Source organism: Homo sapiens, chromosome 9 (genome assembly GCF_000001405.40).
Source record: "Homo sapiens chromosome 9, GRCh38.p14 Primary Assembly".
Taxonomy (NCBI): domain Eukaryota; kingdom Metazoa; phylum Chordata; class Mammalia; order Primates; family Hominidae; genus Homo; species Homo sapiens.
Genome location: NC_000009.12, coordinates 5,345,833 through 5,364,309, shown reverse-complemented (window position 1 = coordinate 5,364,309; position 18,477 = coordinate 5,345,833). Strand labels below are relative to the sequence as shown.

The following is an 18,477-nucleotide window of genomic DNA, read 5'->3' as shown; positions in this document are numbered from 1 at the left end:
GAAAAAAAATATGAGCTATGAGTCTTTCATTTCAGGTGACGGTTCTCAGTCCCGGCTGCACACGGGAACTATCTGGAAGCCTTTAGAAATTATGGATGCCTGATTTTACCTCCAGATCCTGACTTAATTGATCCCACTTGGTTTAGTTGGTCTGGGAGGTATATCTGGTTACTAGACCTTTGAAAATCTCCCCAGATGCTCATGATGTGCAGCAAAGGTTTAGAACCAGTCTGGACTCCTCTATTTCTTGTTTGCTGCCTTTTGATAAAAACACAAATAATTAATTGCTGTATTTACATCACTTTGGGGGATATGATGAATCAGTATGTAAGTTTTGTAAATAAGTAATGTGGCAAGGATGAATTTCACACACTAATCTTGTGCAAAAACACATCTATTTTTAAACTCTAATTGAACTCAAAATGAACCTCAGTTTCTCTTGGTGACAGCAAATTTAATTTTGACAAGTCAAAGTTACTCAATTACTTCTAGTTTAAAACTCGGTTCTTTGGGAGAAAATAGTTGAATTCAGCTTTCCTCCTCCCCTTCTCCGTTCATCTTTTCCCTGGTATGACCTAGGCTTGGGTCCAGGTGATCTCAGGTGGCACCAGCATCAGGGAAGGCACATCTAGCCAGATGCATCTGGGGATCCCCAGACAGAGAATTATGGCCCTGCTTCCTGTGGAGAATGTTGGGAGGGAGCAGGTACTGCAGAGCATAAATGGTTTCAGAGCAGACCTCACAGAGAGCATGCCTAAGAGAGGCCACTTCCGTCTCCCTCAGCGGCCAAGGGGTGTGAAGAAAGTCTGCAAGGTTCTCACATCAGCTGGAGAGGGCCAGAGAAGGTAGCTGAAGATTGAGAGCAGGTGGCCTACCAGAGTCCAAAACCTTGGGCCAGGGGACCCCATAACACACACTTGGGAGTGAATATAAGCCAGTGGCTGAGTGGGGAAGGCCACTGGATCCCAGAGGATCAGTAGCACCTGAGAGTATGGCGATGATGGTTACGCCAGCCTGGAACATGGCCACATGCCCTTAGGGAACATCATGTGGCGCTGTCCAGGTTGATTGAACAGAAAACAAAGCAGAAAAGCACTCTCGGGTGCTGCTGATCCTCTGGGATCCAGTGAGTGGCCTTCCCCACCCAGCCACTGGCTTATGTTCACTCCCCAAGTGTCTGTTATGGGGTCCGCTGGCTCTAGGTTTTGGACTCATTGGTAGTCCCCCTGCTCTCAATCCGCAGTTACCTTCTGTGCCCCTCTCCAGCTGATGTGAGAACCTTGCAGACTTCCTCCACACCCCTTGGCTGTTGAGGGAGATGGAAGCGGCCTCTCTTAGGTGTGCTCTCTGCAAGGTCTGCCCTGAAACCATTTCTGCTGTGCTGTAGCTGCTCCCTCCCAGAATTCTCCGCAGGAAGCAAGGCCACAAGTCTTCTCTGTTTAGGGATTCCCAAACCCATCTGAGGCTTCCGTCATATCTTCTGGTGATTTAACCTCCCAAATAGGCCAAGGAGCCAAGCCCCATCTTTACATCTAAACTATCATTCGCCCCTCCCAGCTACTCCCCTCAGTAGAAAGAGGGCATGGAGGGAAAACTAAATCACATTATTAGTCCTTCCTCTCCTCTTCCTTGCATCATGAACTCCCTGTGTATTGCCCTCTAGCTTGGCTAATGACATGTAGTGCCAAGATTTTAGAATTAAAACATCAACAACAATGCCAACAACACTTTTCTCTGTCAAGAATATAACTCTCTTCAAATAATGGGCTTGGGTTTACAGACAGTTGCTTCTCCTGAGTATTTTCTAAAAATCAATTTAGAAATTCAGTTTCCTTCTCTGTTCTGAGCCATCTGCCTTCTGTTCAAAGCAGTGAAAGGCACTGAACAAAGTGGTGAAGAACTTGAGGCGAGAAAAATGTGGCAAAGAAAAATCTCTATAGATGTCTCAAAACAACACCCATCTACTATGATATTGTGGTATGATATGGAGCAAATAAATACTCCAAATAAATTTCAATTTGGAATGGATTTGGAAGGCAGATTTCCATGCAAGTAGAAATAAAGGCCAATAAGATGTATCTACATTTAAAGACCCATAGATCTTTCCACACATCCAATAGGAAAAGCTGGACATTTATTTGAGACTTGGCTAAAGCTCCAGACCACAGGCAGTCAAGACCTCAGGGTGTAAAAATGGAATATTGATATTTATTCTGTATTTATTCCAGGAAGATTTCACTGCCAAGGTGACAGTTGGTGAGAGCTGTCCAAAGGAACTTTAGTCAAAGTCTGTTGAGATTTTTTTGAAAAAACATGAATTAAAGCAATTGAAGAATGAATCCGCTGGAAAAACAGATTATTAACTATTTGTTCAGATTCCAAAGATGAGTAACTTTACTTTGTCTTTTGTTTTGTCCTTAGCTGGAAAGGCAGCTCATCATGCAGAGTGAAATGAGGGAAAGACAAATGGCCATGCAGATTGCGTGGTCTCGGGAATTCCTCAAATATTTTGGAACTTTTTTTGGCCTTGCAGCCATCTCTTTAACAGCTGGGTATGTTTGCTATTTAACATTTTCTTCAGTCATTTACTTCTTTTTGTGTTTTCCATTACCATTTTATTATGAAGTTGGCCAGAATAAGACTTTGGTCCAAATAGTGTATGTAACCAAAGTAACCTATTAACCTTAGTCCTTGGGGGTAACTCTGTGAAAGCAAGGCAGTAACAGTTAATTTAGTTTCCTAGGTTGCTTCTGTCTTTTTCTCTACTTTATTAGTTAGAGAGAGAGAGCACCAACTTGACACCAAGAAGGGCTCTATGTGTTTATCTCCACAATCCCTTAGTGGTAGATACCAATCCTTACTCATTTTAAAAACAAGGAACCTGAGCTTCAGAGTCAAATAAAGATGAGCAAGTCACAGACCTTGCCCTTGAGAACTGCAGAATCTGGTTAGGGGTATTGGGTAAGGAAATCCTATTTCCATAGAATTATCAAATGTGTTAAGTAACTTCTGAAGGAAAAGGCATTCTTCCAAAAAGCAGGTATTTTTTTTTCTTTAAGTATACAGATATGTATTTACAGGTTATTTTTTGATATTGGTTCTTCTTTTAATTCTTGAAACAGAGCGATTAAAAAAAAGAAGCCAGCCTTCCTGGTCCCGATTGTTCCATTAAGCTTTATCCTCACCTACCAGTATGACTTGGGCTATGGAACCCTTTTAGAAAGAATGAAAGGTAAGTCTTTGGTAAACTAGAGTTTCTATTTGCTGATTTATTTTCCATTTCAAGGATCCCTGCCTTAGGAACCTTTGACTTATAAAGATTCTGACAAGACTCTCTCTTTGAACCTCCAATGAGCAACATTTCTGCTCCCTTTCACACAGTGGTGTCCTAGAGCCAGCTCATACCAGCTCACAAGAACCAATCGCTACATTTTCAGGGATTGTGTAAGCTGGTTGTTAAACATAGTCACTTAATGTATTAAAACTTTTATAAACTTGCAATAAATAAATTACAGCAAATAAATAATATTAAATTGTGTTTAAAACAAAGGTAATAAACAGAACTCATCTGTTTCTAAATATTTACTATTATCCATACTCTGGTTATTTATAGCTATTGTATCTATGTGATAGAAATGCAGATATAATACACAGACAAAACAAAATACAGCTACAGTCCAGTTTCAGTGACATCCCATTGGTAGCCTGAAGTTGGTCTTGGTGGGAATATTTACACAATGGAAATCTGTTGTTGCCAAATCAAGGCTTGACTTCTTATTTTGTTGATTGTCTGGACCAGGGGTTGAAAAATGATGGCCTGAGGCTGGCCACCTGTTTTCCAAAATAAAGTTTTATTGGGACACATCCATGCTCATTCATTTATGTATTGTCTGTGGCTGCCTTCCCATTACCATGACAGAGCCATCCTTGAAACAGAAACATGAGTCCACAAGCCTATAATATTTACTGTCTGGCCCTTTAAGACAGTTTGCCAACCTATGGTCTAGATTTTAAAACTTGATGAAGAAAATGCTAATAATGCAGATTAAGCTTAAAAGTGTGCTTTGTCTGTAACTATTACATTGTAAGTAGCATAAAAGTTGGTGAAATATTCTTCTAATATTGAAAAACTATTATCCAGTTCAGCAAATAAGTTGTTTACATCATTCTCAAATAAATGAAGTTCCAACATTTGTCTTGAAGGAAACAATTGTTTCACTTTTGTCCTACTCATTAGTGTAAATGAAAACACCAACCATCATCCATTATACTCTCTCATCAGCTGCAACATAGGCTGGCTACAGATTCAAGCATTCCATAAAAATCAATGAAAGCATTCTGTGAGAATCAATTTAGTATGTGGAATTTTATGTACATTTTATTATGATACATATTTTTATGTATAGTGAACATGTATAACACGTGTAATAAACATATATATTATACATTTATATACATTTTATTTTCAGAGAACTGGTTGGTAAATATTCACCAGCATACTGCTGCTGTCACAGAATCCTGATTTTTATTGCCCTGGAATTTGACCCAGCTGGCACAGAAATTTAATAGGAAATTTTTGTGGGAATTTCCTGTTTAAAAAAAAGTCAAATTCATCAGAAAACTTATCACATTAGAAAATGTAGATTATAGTTTTTTTCCATGTTAATAGTGATGACCCTAAAATATACAATCCCTATTCGACTGAGTTTATCATCAGCCATTCTTTTAACACATGATGAGAATTTACCAACTGGAAGAAAGGCTCTCTCACGTGGAAAACATCTAGTCTGTCATCAATGGCCAACCTAATTACATATAATTTTATAATGAATTTTACTTGCTATTTGAGACAGAGGTAAAAAAAATAAGACATTTGCAGATGATTGAAATGCTCTTATAATTTGAAAACTATGGTCTGTTCTGTTGGGTTTGGAGTACAATTAATAGTGTGTTAAAGGAAGGCCAGGTGCAGTGGCTCACACCTGTAATCCCAGCACTTTGGGAGGCCAAAGCAGGCAGATCACTTGAGTTTGAGACCAGCCTGTCCAACATGATGAAATCCTGTCTCTATGAAAAATACAAAAAATTAGCCGGTGTACACCACCTGTAGTCCCAGCTACTCAGGAGGCTGAGGTACAAGAATCACTTGAACCCAGGAGACAGAGGCTGCAGTGAGCTGAGATTGCACCACTGCACTCCAGCCTAGGCGACAGAGCTAGACACTGTCTCAAAAAAAAAAAAAAAATAAAATAGTGTGTTAAAAGAGGAGTACTCACAGAAAGTGTTACCTTTTAATCCCAAGGGAGGCTTATAAAATGTAAACATGTACTGTAATACAATTTTTTACAATGTGCTAAGTAGTCTTCGACAATAAAACCTGGCAAATGTCACTGGGCCCAAGAAATTACTGCGTTGTGTAGCTCTTTGAAAGAGGAATTGTTTATAAAGATGTGTATATATGTATATTTGTATGTATACAGACTGAAGAACATTTAATATTATTTTAAGTGTTTACAAGTAATGTCAGGTTGAAGATTAGCTTTTCTGAAAAATTAGAATTTGTAGTAAACTTTACTTTCTCTCTTGTCACTTATATTAAAGGACAATGGGAAAGACTATGTGTGGTTTCTCTACCCAAATCCCTCCAAACAGAATTAATACGAATCCTGACTTTGGTTCAAGGGAAAAAATTACTTATCTTGATGTTCTTTCTCTTCTACATGTCAAAAATACCATCTGTAGCTCCTGATTTATTTATGGGTGTTCAGAATTCATCACTGTGTTTCCTCTGGGAAGTATATTACTTCTCCTGAGGAAAATGTTTAAGTGTGAGATTGGGGACATGGCTCATACGGTGTTAGAGCCTGTCAAGGAATATAGCAATCAGGCTTTGTCACAAATTGCTGATGACCCCTTTGTCACCTTGTGTATTTCTGTACTTTATTTAAGGTGAAGCTGAGGACATACTGGAAACAGAAAAGAGTAAATTGCAGCTGCCAAGAGGAATGATCACTTTTGAAAGCATTGAAAAAGCCAGAAAGGAACAGAGTAGATTCTTCATAGACAAATGAAATCATGCTTACCAATCAAATCTCAAAGCACAGAATTATTGACTTGAATCATGGTTTTTACAGTTTTTTAAATGCTCAAGATTTTGATATTATAGATTTTATTTTAAAATATTAAAATGCAAGATAGTTTTGAGCTATTTTAAAATAAAATTTATAACATTCAACACAAAATCATGGAGGTGCTCTAAATAACTTTTAGATTTCCTCTCTCTGTGTGCATTACCAATATCTAAGTGTAAAATTAATAAATTGTTTTGAATTCCTGGAAGCAAATGCCCAGCTGCTCTCATTTCTCTGTCACACATACTTTCCATACCACATTCCATTTCCACAGATGCTTCTGTATTTTGGATTTGTCAATTGTGTCCTGCCCCTACATGACAGAAAACAGTATTGTTTGACTAACATATATACTGCATTTTCTATGACTGGCACTGTTCTGAGTGTTTTGTACAAATTCTTGTAATCATCCCAATAATTTTATGAAGCAGGAATCATTTTATAAATGTGGAAACTGAAGCACAGATAAGCAGCTTGAACAAAGGCAGAAGCACGCAAGCCAAATCCAAGAAGTTGCTGCAGGTCATCCAATTTGGCTGGGCCAAAGCCATACTTGGCCAGGGCTTGGATTTGAACAAGTGTGGCTCCAGTGGCTGTGCTCTAAAAGGCCTTGACAAGGCCTTAACTGATGCTTAACCTGCAAAGAAAAGCTATAAAAGGGAAAAGGTAACAACATTCAAATAATGACTCAGGGCATAGTTGCTAGAGAGGTGGAAACAAGAGAGAGGTAGATTTGGATGACTGCCTTTTTATTTAGACTCACTGGGAAAACTCCTCATAAAATACTCCTATATATAAGTATTTCTTCAGATGCGAACCCTACATATAATATGCTCATTCCAAAGAGATTTATTGATACTACTTTGTGCCAGGCACTGTTGTAGACACTAGAGCTACATCGGTGAATAAGTAGACAATGTCCTATATCCTGGGCAGAGGAATATATTCTAGTGAGGGGTGGGATAATTGGGGCGGGCAACAAATTAACATCAAGATAAATAAGATCATTTCTAATCCTGGCAAATGCTTCAGTGGAAATGAAACAGAGTGATAAGAGAATGATTGGGTTAATGAGGTGGTGCTACTTTAGATCGGTACTGCAGACACTGCCTCTTTGCAGAGGTGACATTTGAACTGAGACATGGCATGGCCAAATAATAGAAAGAAGCCCAGGAAGAATAATAGGAGATTAAATATTAAGGTAGGAACAAGCATGAATATGATGTGGTCCCTACCTTCAAGGAGCTGACAACGTATCAACATGTGTTTTGTTACAATTTTAGCTTTAGAGAAACTTGAGCCAAGTCTTGAAGGATGCATAGAAGTTCTCCATGAAGGTAAACATTGAAGAGGAAGGGTGCCCCAAGCAGGAGAAGCAGCTTGAACAAAGGCAGGACCGTGCAAGCCAAATCCAAGGAATTGCTGCAGGTCATTCAATTTGGCTGCAGCAAGGGGTTCCTCATGTGGGAGACTTTTTCAGAAATGATCCTGGTGGAAGTACAATTCAATTCCTGAAGAGCCTTGGATGTAACAGCAAGCAGTTTGGACTCTTTCCTGAGGGTGATAGCAGTGAAAGAATGCAAAACGGGATTTTTACCCAAATTTGTAGATTAGAGGGGAAAGATCCCAGATCCCAAGTAATGAGGAGCTGCAATGATCCATCTGAGTGCTGACCAGTGGCCTGAATTAAGGCTACAGCCTTGGGAATGGACTCAAGATTATGAAAATAGAGAATAGCAGTACCAGGAAACCAGTTTGAGGTCACAGAGTGGGAGTTGTTTTCCCTGCATTTTTAATCTGTGTGGATTATCTAAGGCCCCTAGAGAACATGGGAAAGAAGAAGTACTGGGAGGAACACTGGTGGACTCATGAATGCCCAAGACCTAGTGCTGGTTGTAGGTCACACCAGAATCTGGAATTGTATTTCTTTCCCCACAATTCAATCATGCTATTCAAATGTTCCTGATATAGTCTAGCCAGAGCTCACCAAGAGTAGGTTTGATGCCTCTGCAAAGGCTGATCGGCTCAAGACCTTATCTGGGATTTTCATTGCTGGCAACATAGCCAGGCCCTGGGCCCCCTTAAGAACACCAGGCTGTTCAATTGTATTGGCTTCTTGGCTTCTTCCTCTGGCACTGACACTGAGTTTATTAATAATTCTACCTCAGTAGAGGCCCTGCTGAAAAACATACGCACACACTTACACTCATACTGTTGTTTGCTCCCAATTGTATAGTGAGGCAAAAATCAAAGTGGAGCTATTAAAAATGACCATGCAGCACAAGTATGTTGTAACATTTTTCAGTGTTATAACTGCTGATTATCCAAAGCTTTTCCTCTCATTATTACATTGTCCTTTTGTTGAAAGGAAAAACATTTCTGCTGTGATGCTTCTGAGCTATTTCTTCATTTATATTAATTAAATATTTATTTATGCTTATGATTAATCCCTAATTACCAACTAGACATCTGATGTTTCCAAATACTGAAACTTATATGGTCTTCTATAAGAAACTAGCTTATAATCATCACAAACTTTTGTGATATTGCAAGAAGAATGAGGAAATAAATATGAGAAAGTATATTAGGAGAAGGATAAGAAACAGGTTTCATTATGAACAAAGATTTAGAGATTAAAATAATGATAACCTCACTCAATCTCTTTGTCAATTATTAGGAATAAAGTTGGAGGAAAACTTATCTACACTCCATGTGGTTCTGTTCTTCCCAAGACATTCTTGGCTCAGCCAAAGCAATGCAGAGACTGCTAAGTATATGTGGAGTCTGTCATAGTTAAGGGATATAAATATGGATCCAGAGATTCTCTGCAACAGAAAGACTGTTCTTGACAATCACTGTATAATAGTAAAAATGCAGTTTATAACATTGCGTTACCTAAGTGTTTTGAATGTTTCTTATTCACATTTACATGAGAGAATTGTTCTCCCAGTTAAACAAAAATAACATATCAGGGTCTGAAATTTACAAATAAATCAAGTTTATATGGTGTTCAACCAATCTGAATTTGTGTTTATGGGTAATGTTGAAGGTTCCTTTATGGTGTGGTACTCATTGCACTTTGGAAAGGCTGTGAGAAAGTTCCCATAAGCCGAAGTTGTTTTAATGACAAATAGTGAAGTTATGATCAAGGATTTTAAAGAAGGGAAGACACTTAGAAATAGTCTAGTCTAAGCCCTCACCTTACACTTGAAAAAATTGAGGCCCTTTGTGATTGACCTAAAGTTTTATATCTAGTAATGGTAGTTACACTAAAACCTTTGTATTTGGTATCCCTGGCAGGATTCTTTTCAATACAACATGCTGCCTGATCAAGAAAAAATAGTGTCAAAGTCAAAATCAAATATAATTAAAAAAATTATCACACACATTCAGTCTCAGAGCCATATGAAGTGTCCTAGGGTGGGGTTAGAAGGGCATTGGTTAGAAGAGAAGTGAGAAGGAATAGACACAGATTGCAAAAATAATCTATGACCAATGTAACCTAAATATAAGCCATCTGAAATTGATAATATATTTTATAGACTTCCACAATTTTAATATATGAATGTTCAAGTGTGATATTCTAGAAACACAAGCCAGAACCTTGATACTTTTTCTGCCCCACCATTCTTGGAAAGGAATAAATTGTTACTGAGAAAATATAATTAAATAAAGCACATTGGTCAGGCATTGTGGTGTCTCTTGACCTTGGAGTGTGTCTGTTTTGTGAGAGGATTGGAAATGCTCCCTTAGATTTGGCCTTGTGGATGCCCACAGGAGATTTCAGGAAGTACCCTGCTTATCATCACTGTCTGGCTGTTTAGCATCTCCACTGATTTTTCTAATGATAACTCTGAGTCTGTCTGGAGCAGTATCTGGGCTGCAGATGTACTAAGAGACACAGGCAGAATGGAAGGAGGCGAAGTGAGAAAAGTCTGGAAAATAAGAAGGGGGCCAAGGAAGAATGGGATGGAGCTGACTCAACTGCCTCCGACAGTAGACAGCCCAAGAATGCCTGTTAGGGTTCAGCTCCTGGCTTGGTTGGGGGAGCTGAACCCACCAACCCAATCCAAAGACCAAAGCCACCAATGGGATCCCTCACAGGCCAGTTTATTTTGCTGTGTTAACTTGTTCCTCTGGTTACTCAAATGACCGAAGTGTGGCTGGGGCAGCACAAATTCATCATTACCACTGAATAAAAGCAACTGGAAACTGTATCCCACTGATAAGAACTCAGTGGCATCACTAAGTCTGAGGTTTGGATAACATTTCTGCCTCAAAATTTCTCGGTCCACAAGTGTCAAGGATTCAGTGATGGAGTGTTAGCCTTAGTTAGTTTATTTTTTTTCTCGAAGGACTCCATCTGTGGTCAGCAGCATTCCATGGGTGTTTTCTTCTCTGCACTTGAGGTGGAGGTAGACCCTGACCTGGAGTTAGTTTAAGCATGCCATTTGGTGTTGGGAGAACAGAGTCCATGTTGTAGGAAGGATCAGAAATCTAGGACTGTAGCTTGGTGAAGGTTTCAAAAAATAGTAAGGAAGTAAATGGCCATTGAATGTATGTGAAAGTCAATGGGTTAGAGATAGTGGTAGATATTGAAGTGTGATAAGGGAGACCTGTGAAAGGCTGTCAGGATAATGTTAAAATAATTTGATCAGACTTTGAGAAATACGAGTGACTTTTTCCTTCTCTTCCCACCATTCCCACACCATTAATTTACTGCTGATAAACATTTGACTTGACTTGAAGGTAGCACCAACTTTATCCACTAAGGTGATTTTGAAGAAAGATAAGCTAAGAACCCAAGATGGGTTCTGAGGCACTTAACAGTTTCATACTTCCTTAAAATACTTCAGAGAAAACTTGGTCTCTGGAATGTTTTTCTTTTCATCTTCAAAGAAATAAGAATTTTGGAAGCAGACCAACTGATGCTATCTATTTCAAACTAGTGATAATAAAAAGACACTTGGGGTTGGAATAAAGTTTGTGCTGATGAATAGTTGCTTCTCTCAAATTCAGTAGCTGTGGAAGACACAGGGCACTGGATTGACCTTGCAGCCAGTTTTCTTCTCTGAACTGACAGCTTAGGACAGGTCACAGGTGAATTTTTGCAAAGCCTGACACCTCTGAAGCATCCTAAAAATCTAGGTAAGCAAAGGGGTTCTGCTCAGTTTCAGACTTGGACATGGTCTCTCAAACAGATTATCAATTTCCTATTAGAGTAGGAGTGTTTTAGGAAAAGGAAACATTTCAAGTAGCTCATTGGTCATAGCTGGAGGAAAGGTGTGGTGGAGTGGGACAGGAAACCAGACCCACAGGAAACACAACTTGCCTTCAAGCTCATCTCTGGTCCCACCTTAATCTCTCCTTCTAAGGACCTCTCACAGGAAATGCTCGATCTCTTTTAACCTGACTCTAGCTGCTTATTTGCACAGCATCATGGAAACCTGTTAGAAACAGTTCTAAGTTGCAATACATTAAATAAAAAGTACAATGTCTTTTGACCAAGAAGTAGATGTATTTTTCACTGCTGTGACTTTGTTGCATTTCTAAGCATAAAGCCCACTTTAGCAGGTTGAATTGTGTTTCTTTATCTTAATGTTTCTTATCCCTCCCATCAGTGTGGATATTATCTAAGAGCAAAGAAGAACTTCATAAAATTCTATTATAATGTTCCTGCTGAATTATTTTGTTAAATTAAACATCATATGCTGCCAGAAATCTAACTATAAATTCAGAGCTTTGCATATTACATATTTACACTCTTACCTACTGTTCTCAAGTATACATCAGTGATGATTTTAATTAGACTAGCTTTTTCTAAACACACTCATTACACACTTGAGTTGCTTCAATACTATTCAATGTCCAACTTTTATTCTCACTTGTCACTTTTTAATCTGATTTCATGATGAAAGACCAGTTCTGGCAAACTCTCCTTTAAATTAAAAGCGAATGCATTATGATTTCATTTATATGAAGTTTAAAGCAAAACAAATCTAATTGTATCAGAATAGTGCCTACCCTAAGGGTTGAGGGTTGATCAGAAAGAGATATGAGGAAGTTATCTGGGAAGTTATCTGGGAAGAGAGAATTGTTTTATATCATAATAAAGATGTGGCTTACTCTGGTGTACTCATTTGTCAAAATTGTAAAGCTAATATGTAGGCATTTCAAGGTATGTTATATATGTAGTGATAGATATAGGTATATAGTGATAAATGAGAGATACAGGTGAAAAAAGAATGACAAAAATAATGATAGCCATTGCAGTTGTATAATGTAGGACATGAGGATTCTTTATACTGTTTTGTTTACTTTGTACATATTTGAAATTTTCATAATAAACAGTTTTTCATAATAAAGAGCTTTTAAAAGCCAAAGTACTTTCTAAATTGTTCAATCAGCAAACCTGATTTTGCTAGACTTTTGAAACTACATGCATTTTAAAAAGATAGATATCAAAACTTTAATCTTGATTGAAATATTACAATATGCAGAAGAATATATTTAGTAGGTTTAAAAACATGGTAGAAGTTGAGAGATTGATATCATCGAGATAGTGGAGTAGGAGATATAAGCCTTCAATCCTCCCCTACACACACACACACATACACACACACATGCACACGCACACACAAACATGGACAGCTATTTCCACAAACCACTATAGCCCTGAGACAGCTCAAGGGCCATTAAAGAATCTGCAGCAGCACAGTAGAGCAAAATAAAATGGAAACTATCCACTTAGAAAGGATCACTGGTGAGATTTGTATACCTGAGATTCCAGAAGACAGGAACAAAGAAGGAAGACAGATGCTTTTGGTATTAGCCAAATTAACTGTTGTGGTCCCCAGCAGCATTCTCTGCAAAGGACACCAGCGTCTTTTGATACTAAGGTACCCAACAGCCATTCTTACCACTCTCAGAGAGGAAGACATAGCTGCACTTCCCTCTGCCACCTCTTTTAACCCTGTGTGCCCCAACTCCCAAGCAGCAGCTGCCTTATGAGCGCCCACACTCTAGAGCTGTGTTCTGTGGCTTAACCGCCCTGAACACATCTTAGACACTGGATCCATTGCTATAGCAAGCTAGTTCACATTCTGGGCTTTAGAGTGCCAAGGTCACTCTGAGCATGCCTATGCCCCAGGCTCAACTGCCATAGAGAGCTAGATCTTACCCCAGCTCCCAAGTACTATAACTCTATGTACACCTGTGCTGCCATTCTCAGCTCCCCAGCTGTTTCACAAGCATATGTGCAACACATACCATTACCAATACAGCAGTGGGGGTACCTGCTCCCTGGGCACCAGTGCCACTACTGCCTACAGCCCAGAGCTATAGTGCCAGGATGTGTGCCTATGCCTTAGGACTAACCTCTGTGGCTGCTCCATGGGTGCCACTCATCAGATACCAGAGCCACCATTACTGCAAAAGGGCCTGAAAGCTGGTCCCAGTGCCAAGAGGGACCTGCCCCAATCTACAACTTCCCTGGCAGGAGGAAAAAGATTGGGAGGACTGTAGAAGCCATTGTCATGAAAACCCTAACAACCCTCACTGCTACTGTGGACATTCACAGCATTCGCTGCTGAGGATTCTGTAATCTTCAACAACACTGATCTTAGCTGACGGAACTATGTGGCTACTACCAAGGAGCCACACTCCAACCATCCAGAGCCTTTACTCCTCCCTGTTGAGGAAGGCCTTTTCACAGTGAAACTAGCCCAAATGTCTGAAAGAGATAACTGTTTCAACAAATGTGTAGACATCAATGCAATGCAACAAGAAACATGAAAAAACAAAAAGACATATCACTACCAAGAGAACACAATAGTTTTTCAGTTTCTGACCCTAGATAAATGGGAATATATGAATTTTCTAACAAAAAAATCAAAATATTTGTTTTAGGAAAGCTCAGTGAACTTCAATAAAATACAAACAATTCAATGAAATCAGAAAAATAATAAACAAAATGAGAACTTTAATAGAGCAATTGAAATTATTTAAAAACACACATAGAAATCTGGACCTGAAAAATACAATAAAAAATGAAAAAGTCAATAGAAAGCATCAACAGGGAGTTGGTTAATCAGAAGAAAGAATCTGTGAACTTGAAGACAGGTATTTGAAAATATACAGTCAGAGGAGTAAAAAGAATGAAGAGGAATAGAGAAAGCATACAGGATTTATGGGACAGCCTCGTAAAAGCAAATATTCAAATTATAGGAATTTAAGAAAGAGAGACAAAGGGACAGAAAGATTATTTTTAAAATAATAGCTGAAAACGACTGGGTGCAGTGGCTCACACCTGTAATCTCAGCACTTTGGGAGGCCGAGGCGGGCGGATCACGAATTCAGGAGATCGAGACCATCCTGGCTAACACCCTGAAACCCCATCTCTACTAAAAATACAAAAAATTAGCCGGGTGTGGTGGCAGGCTCCTGAGTCCCAGCTACTAGGGAGGCTGAGGCAGGAGAATGGCATGAACCCGGCAGGTGGAGCTTGCAGTGAGCTGAGATAGTGCCACTGCAGTCCAGCCCGGGTGAAAGAGCGAGACTCTCTCTCAAAAAAAAAAAAAAAAAAAAAGCTGAAAACTTACCAATTGAGTAAAGATATAAATTCCCAGGAGCAAGGTGAAAGGTCTCTAATCAGATACAATTCAAATAAAATGACATCAAGACAATTATAATCAAACTATCAAGCAACAAAGACAAAGAGAGAATTCTGAAAGCAGCAAAAGGAAAGAATAAAGCACTTATAAGAGAGTCCCAAAGGCTAGCAGAGAATTTCTCAGAAGAGCTCTTTCAGGCCAGGAGAGGGTGGGATGATATTTTCCAAGCACTAAAGAAAAATCTGCCTACCAAGAACAATGTACCTGGCAAAGCTGTCCTTCTGAAATGAAGAAAATTAAAGACTTTCCCAGCCAAACAGAAGCCGAGGAAGTTCATCACTACCAGACCTTTTTTTTTTTTTTTTTTTTTTGAAACAGAGTTTCCCTCTGTTGCCCAGGCTAGAGTGCAATGGCATGATCTTGGCTCACTGAAGCCGCCACCTACAGGGTTCCAGCAATTCTCGTGCCTCAACCTCCTAAGTAGCTGGGATTACAGGTGTGAACCTCCAGACCCAGCCAAGACCTGTCTTATAAGAAATATTAGAGGAAAAATTTCAAGCTGAAAGAGAGCTAAATAGTAACATGAAAACATGAAAGTATAATACTCATTGGTAAAAGTAAGTGCATAGTCAAATTTGGAATACTATGATACTGTAAAAGTGATGTGTAAATCACTTATATCTTTAGTATAAAGGTTAAAAGGCAGACCTATTAAAAATAAGAATAGCTCAATAATTTGTTAAAGGATACCCAATATAAAAAGATGTAATATGTGACATCAAAAAATAAAAATGGAAGATGGAAGATGGAGTAAAAGTGTGGTTTTTGTATGTGAAGTTAAATTTTTATCAGTTTAATAGTGTTATAAGATGTTTTATGTAACCCAATTACACCCAAATTTAAATGGATTAAATTTCCTAACTAAAAGACATAATAATATCTTATATGTTTCAAAACTGCTAAAAGAGTGTATTTTTTAGAGATAAAATTTTCTTTGTACATTTAAGGTATATAACATGTTATAAGATACATGTATTGTCATCCCTTGGTATCCACTGGGGCTTGGCTCCAGGACTCTGAGGATACCAAAATTCATGGATGCTCAAGTCTCACTGTAGGTCCTGTGGAATCATCAATGCAAAAAAATCAGCCCTCCATTTCTACTGGTCCCACGTCCAGCAAATACTATATGCTTGATCTGCAGTTGGTTGAACCCATGGATGCAGAACCCATGGATACGGAACTTATGGATATGGAGGGCCAACTGTATATAGTAAAATGGTTACTATAGTGGAAAAAATCAATATATACATGACCTTGCATAGTTACCCATTTTTCCCTCATGGCAAGAGCAACTATAATGTACTCATTTAGCAAAAATCCTGAATACAATATACTATTATTAGTGATAGTCCTCACACTGTACATTAGATCTTTTGGCTTGTCCACCCTACATATTTGCCACTTTGTATTCTCTGACCTGCATCTTCTTATTTCCTCCCCTCACCCCAATGCTGGTGGCCACTGTTTTGTTTTTATTTCTTTGTATCTGACTTTCTTCTTCTTCTTTTTAAAAGATTTCACATGTAAATGAGACCATGCAATATTTTTCTTTCTGTGTGTGGCTCATTTTACCTAGCGTTAAGTTTCCCCAGATCCGTCCATGTTGTAGCAAATGGCAAGAGCTCCTCCTTTTTGAAGGGTGAATAATATTCTCTCTCTCTCTCTTTCACACATACACACACACACACACAGTTTCTTTATCCACTTGCTCATCGGTGGACACCTAGGTGGTTTCCATGTTTTGGGTATTATGAAAACTACTACAATAAATATTGAAGGGCAGATATCTTAACAAGGTGGTCATTTCATTTCCTTTGGATGTATATCCAGAAGATGGGTTGCTGGGTCATATGGCAGTTCTATTTTAATTTTCTTGGGAATCACCATACTGTTTTCCATAATGGCTGCACTAATCTACATTTCTATCAACAGTGTACAAGGTTCTCTTTTCTGTACACCCTTGCCAACACTTATCTCTTATCTTTTTGGTAATAGCTATCCTAACAGGTGTGAGGTAGTTCTCACAATGGTTTTGATTTGCATTTCTTTGATGATTAGTGATGCTGAGCACCTTTTCATGTATGTTGGGTATTTTTTTTTTTTTTTTTTTTTTTTGAGACGGAGTCTGGCTCTGTCGCCCAGGCTGGAGTGTAGTGGCGCAATCTCGGCTCACTGCAAGCTCCGCCTCCCGGGTTCACGCCATTCTCCTGCCTCAGCCTCCCGAGTAGCTGGGACTACAGGCGCCCGCCACAGCGCCCGGCTAATTTTTTGTATTTTTAGTAGAGACGGGGTTTCACCATGTTAGCCAGGATGGTCTCGATCTCCTGACCTCGTGATCCGCCCGCCTCGGCCTCCCAAAGTGCTGGGATTACAGGCGTGAGCCACCGCGCCCGGCCGTATGTTGGGTATTTTTATGTCAACTTTTATAATATGACTATTCAAGTCCTCTGCCCATTTTTTCAATCAGGTTATATGTTTTATTGCTATATTGAGTTGTATGAGTTCTTTATGAATCATGGATATTAACTCCTTATCTGAGTTGTATGAGTTCCTTATAAACCTTGAATATTAATCCCTTGGATATGGTTTGCAAATATTTTTTCACAATCTGTAGGTTGCCTCTTCATTTTGTTGAATGTTTCCTATACTGTGCAGAAGCTTTTTAGTCTGATATAGTCCCATTTATTTATTTTTGCTTTAATAGCTTGAGCTTTTGGTGTGATGCCCAATAAATCATTGCCAAGGCCAATATCAAGGAGCTTTTCCCCTGTGTTTTCCCCTTTTAGGCGTTTTATGGTTTCAGGTCTATGTTTAGGTCTTTTATCCACCTTGAGCTGATTTTTGTATATGGTATAAGATAAGAATCCAATTTCATTCTTTAGCATGTGGAGATCCAGTTTTCCCAGCACCATTTATTGAAGGAACTATTCTTTTCTCATTGTGTCTTGTTGTGGCCCTTGTCAAAAATTAGTTTATCATATGTGTTTGGATTTATTTCTGGGCTCTTTATGCTGTTCCACTGGTCTATTAGTCTGTTTTTATGCCAGTACCATACTGTTTCAATTATTTTAGCTTTGTAATATAATTTTAAATCAGGATGTGTGATGCTTCCAACTTTTTTCCCTCAGAATTGCTTGGCTATTTAGAAGCTTTTGTGGTTTCATGCAAATTTTAAAACTTTTTGTCTATTTCTATAAGAAGGCTATTGGGATTTTGGTAGGGATTGCATTGAGTCTATATATTGCTTTAGGTAGTATAGACATTTAAACAATATTAATTATTTCAGTCCATGAGCATGGAATACCTTTCTATTTACTTGTGACTCCTTCAATTTCTCTTATCAATGTTATTGCAGTTTTCAGTGTACAGGTATTTCTCCTTTTAGTTAAATTTTTTCTAAGTATTTTATTTTTTAATACTATCATAAATAGGATTGTTTTCATGATTTCTTTTTCAGCTAGGCTGTTATTTGTGCATAGAAATGCCACAGACTTTCACATGTTGTTTTTGTATCTTACAACTTTACTGAATTCATTTGTTAAGTCTAACAGTTTTTTGGTGAACTGGGGGTTTTCTACACATAGGATCATGTCATCTGCAAATAGAAATAATTTTACTTATTCCTTTTCAATCGGGATTCTCTTATTTCTTTGTCTTTTCTAATTGCTCTT

The 18,477-nt window shown here is 38.5% G+C and overlaps 1 protein-coding gene across 4 annotated transcripts in view; it reads left to right on the top strand.

Annotated features, from left to right (window-relative positions):
• PLGRKT (plasminogen receptor with a C-terminal lysine) overlaps nt 1-6,339 on the top strand; it is an 80,407-nt gene extending 74,068 nt beyond the window's left edge. For all 4 annotated transcript variants that reach the window (XM_005251510.6, NM_018465.4, XM_011517960.3 and 1 more), the window contains 3 exons: nt 2,422-2,552; nt 3,123-3,232; nt 5,950-6,339. In XM_005251510.6, coding sequence (XP_005251567.1) covers nt 2,422-2,552; nt 3,123-3,232; nt 5,950-6,071 — 363 coding nt within the window. In that variant the 3' untranslated portion in view covers nt 6,072-6,339. The remainder of the gene's footprint in view (nt 1-2,421; nt 2,553-3,122; nt 3,233-5,949) is intronic.
• The last annotated feature ends 12,138 nt before the right edge of the window (nt 6,340-18,477 follow it).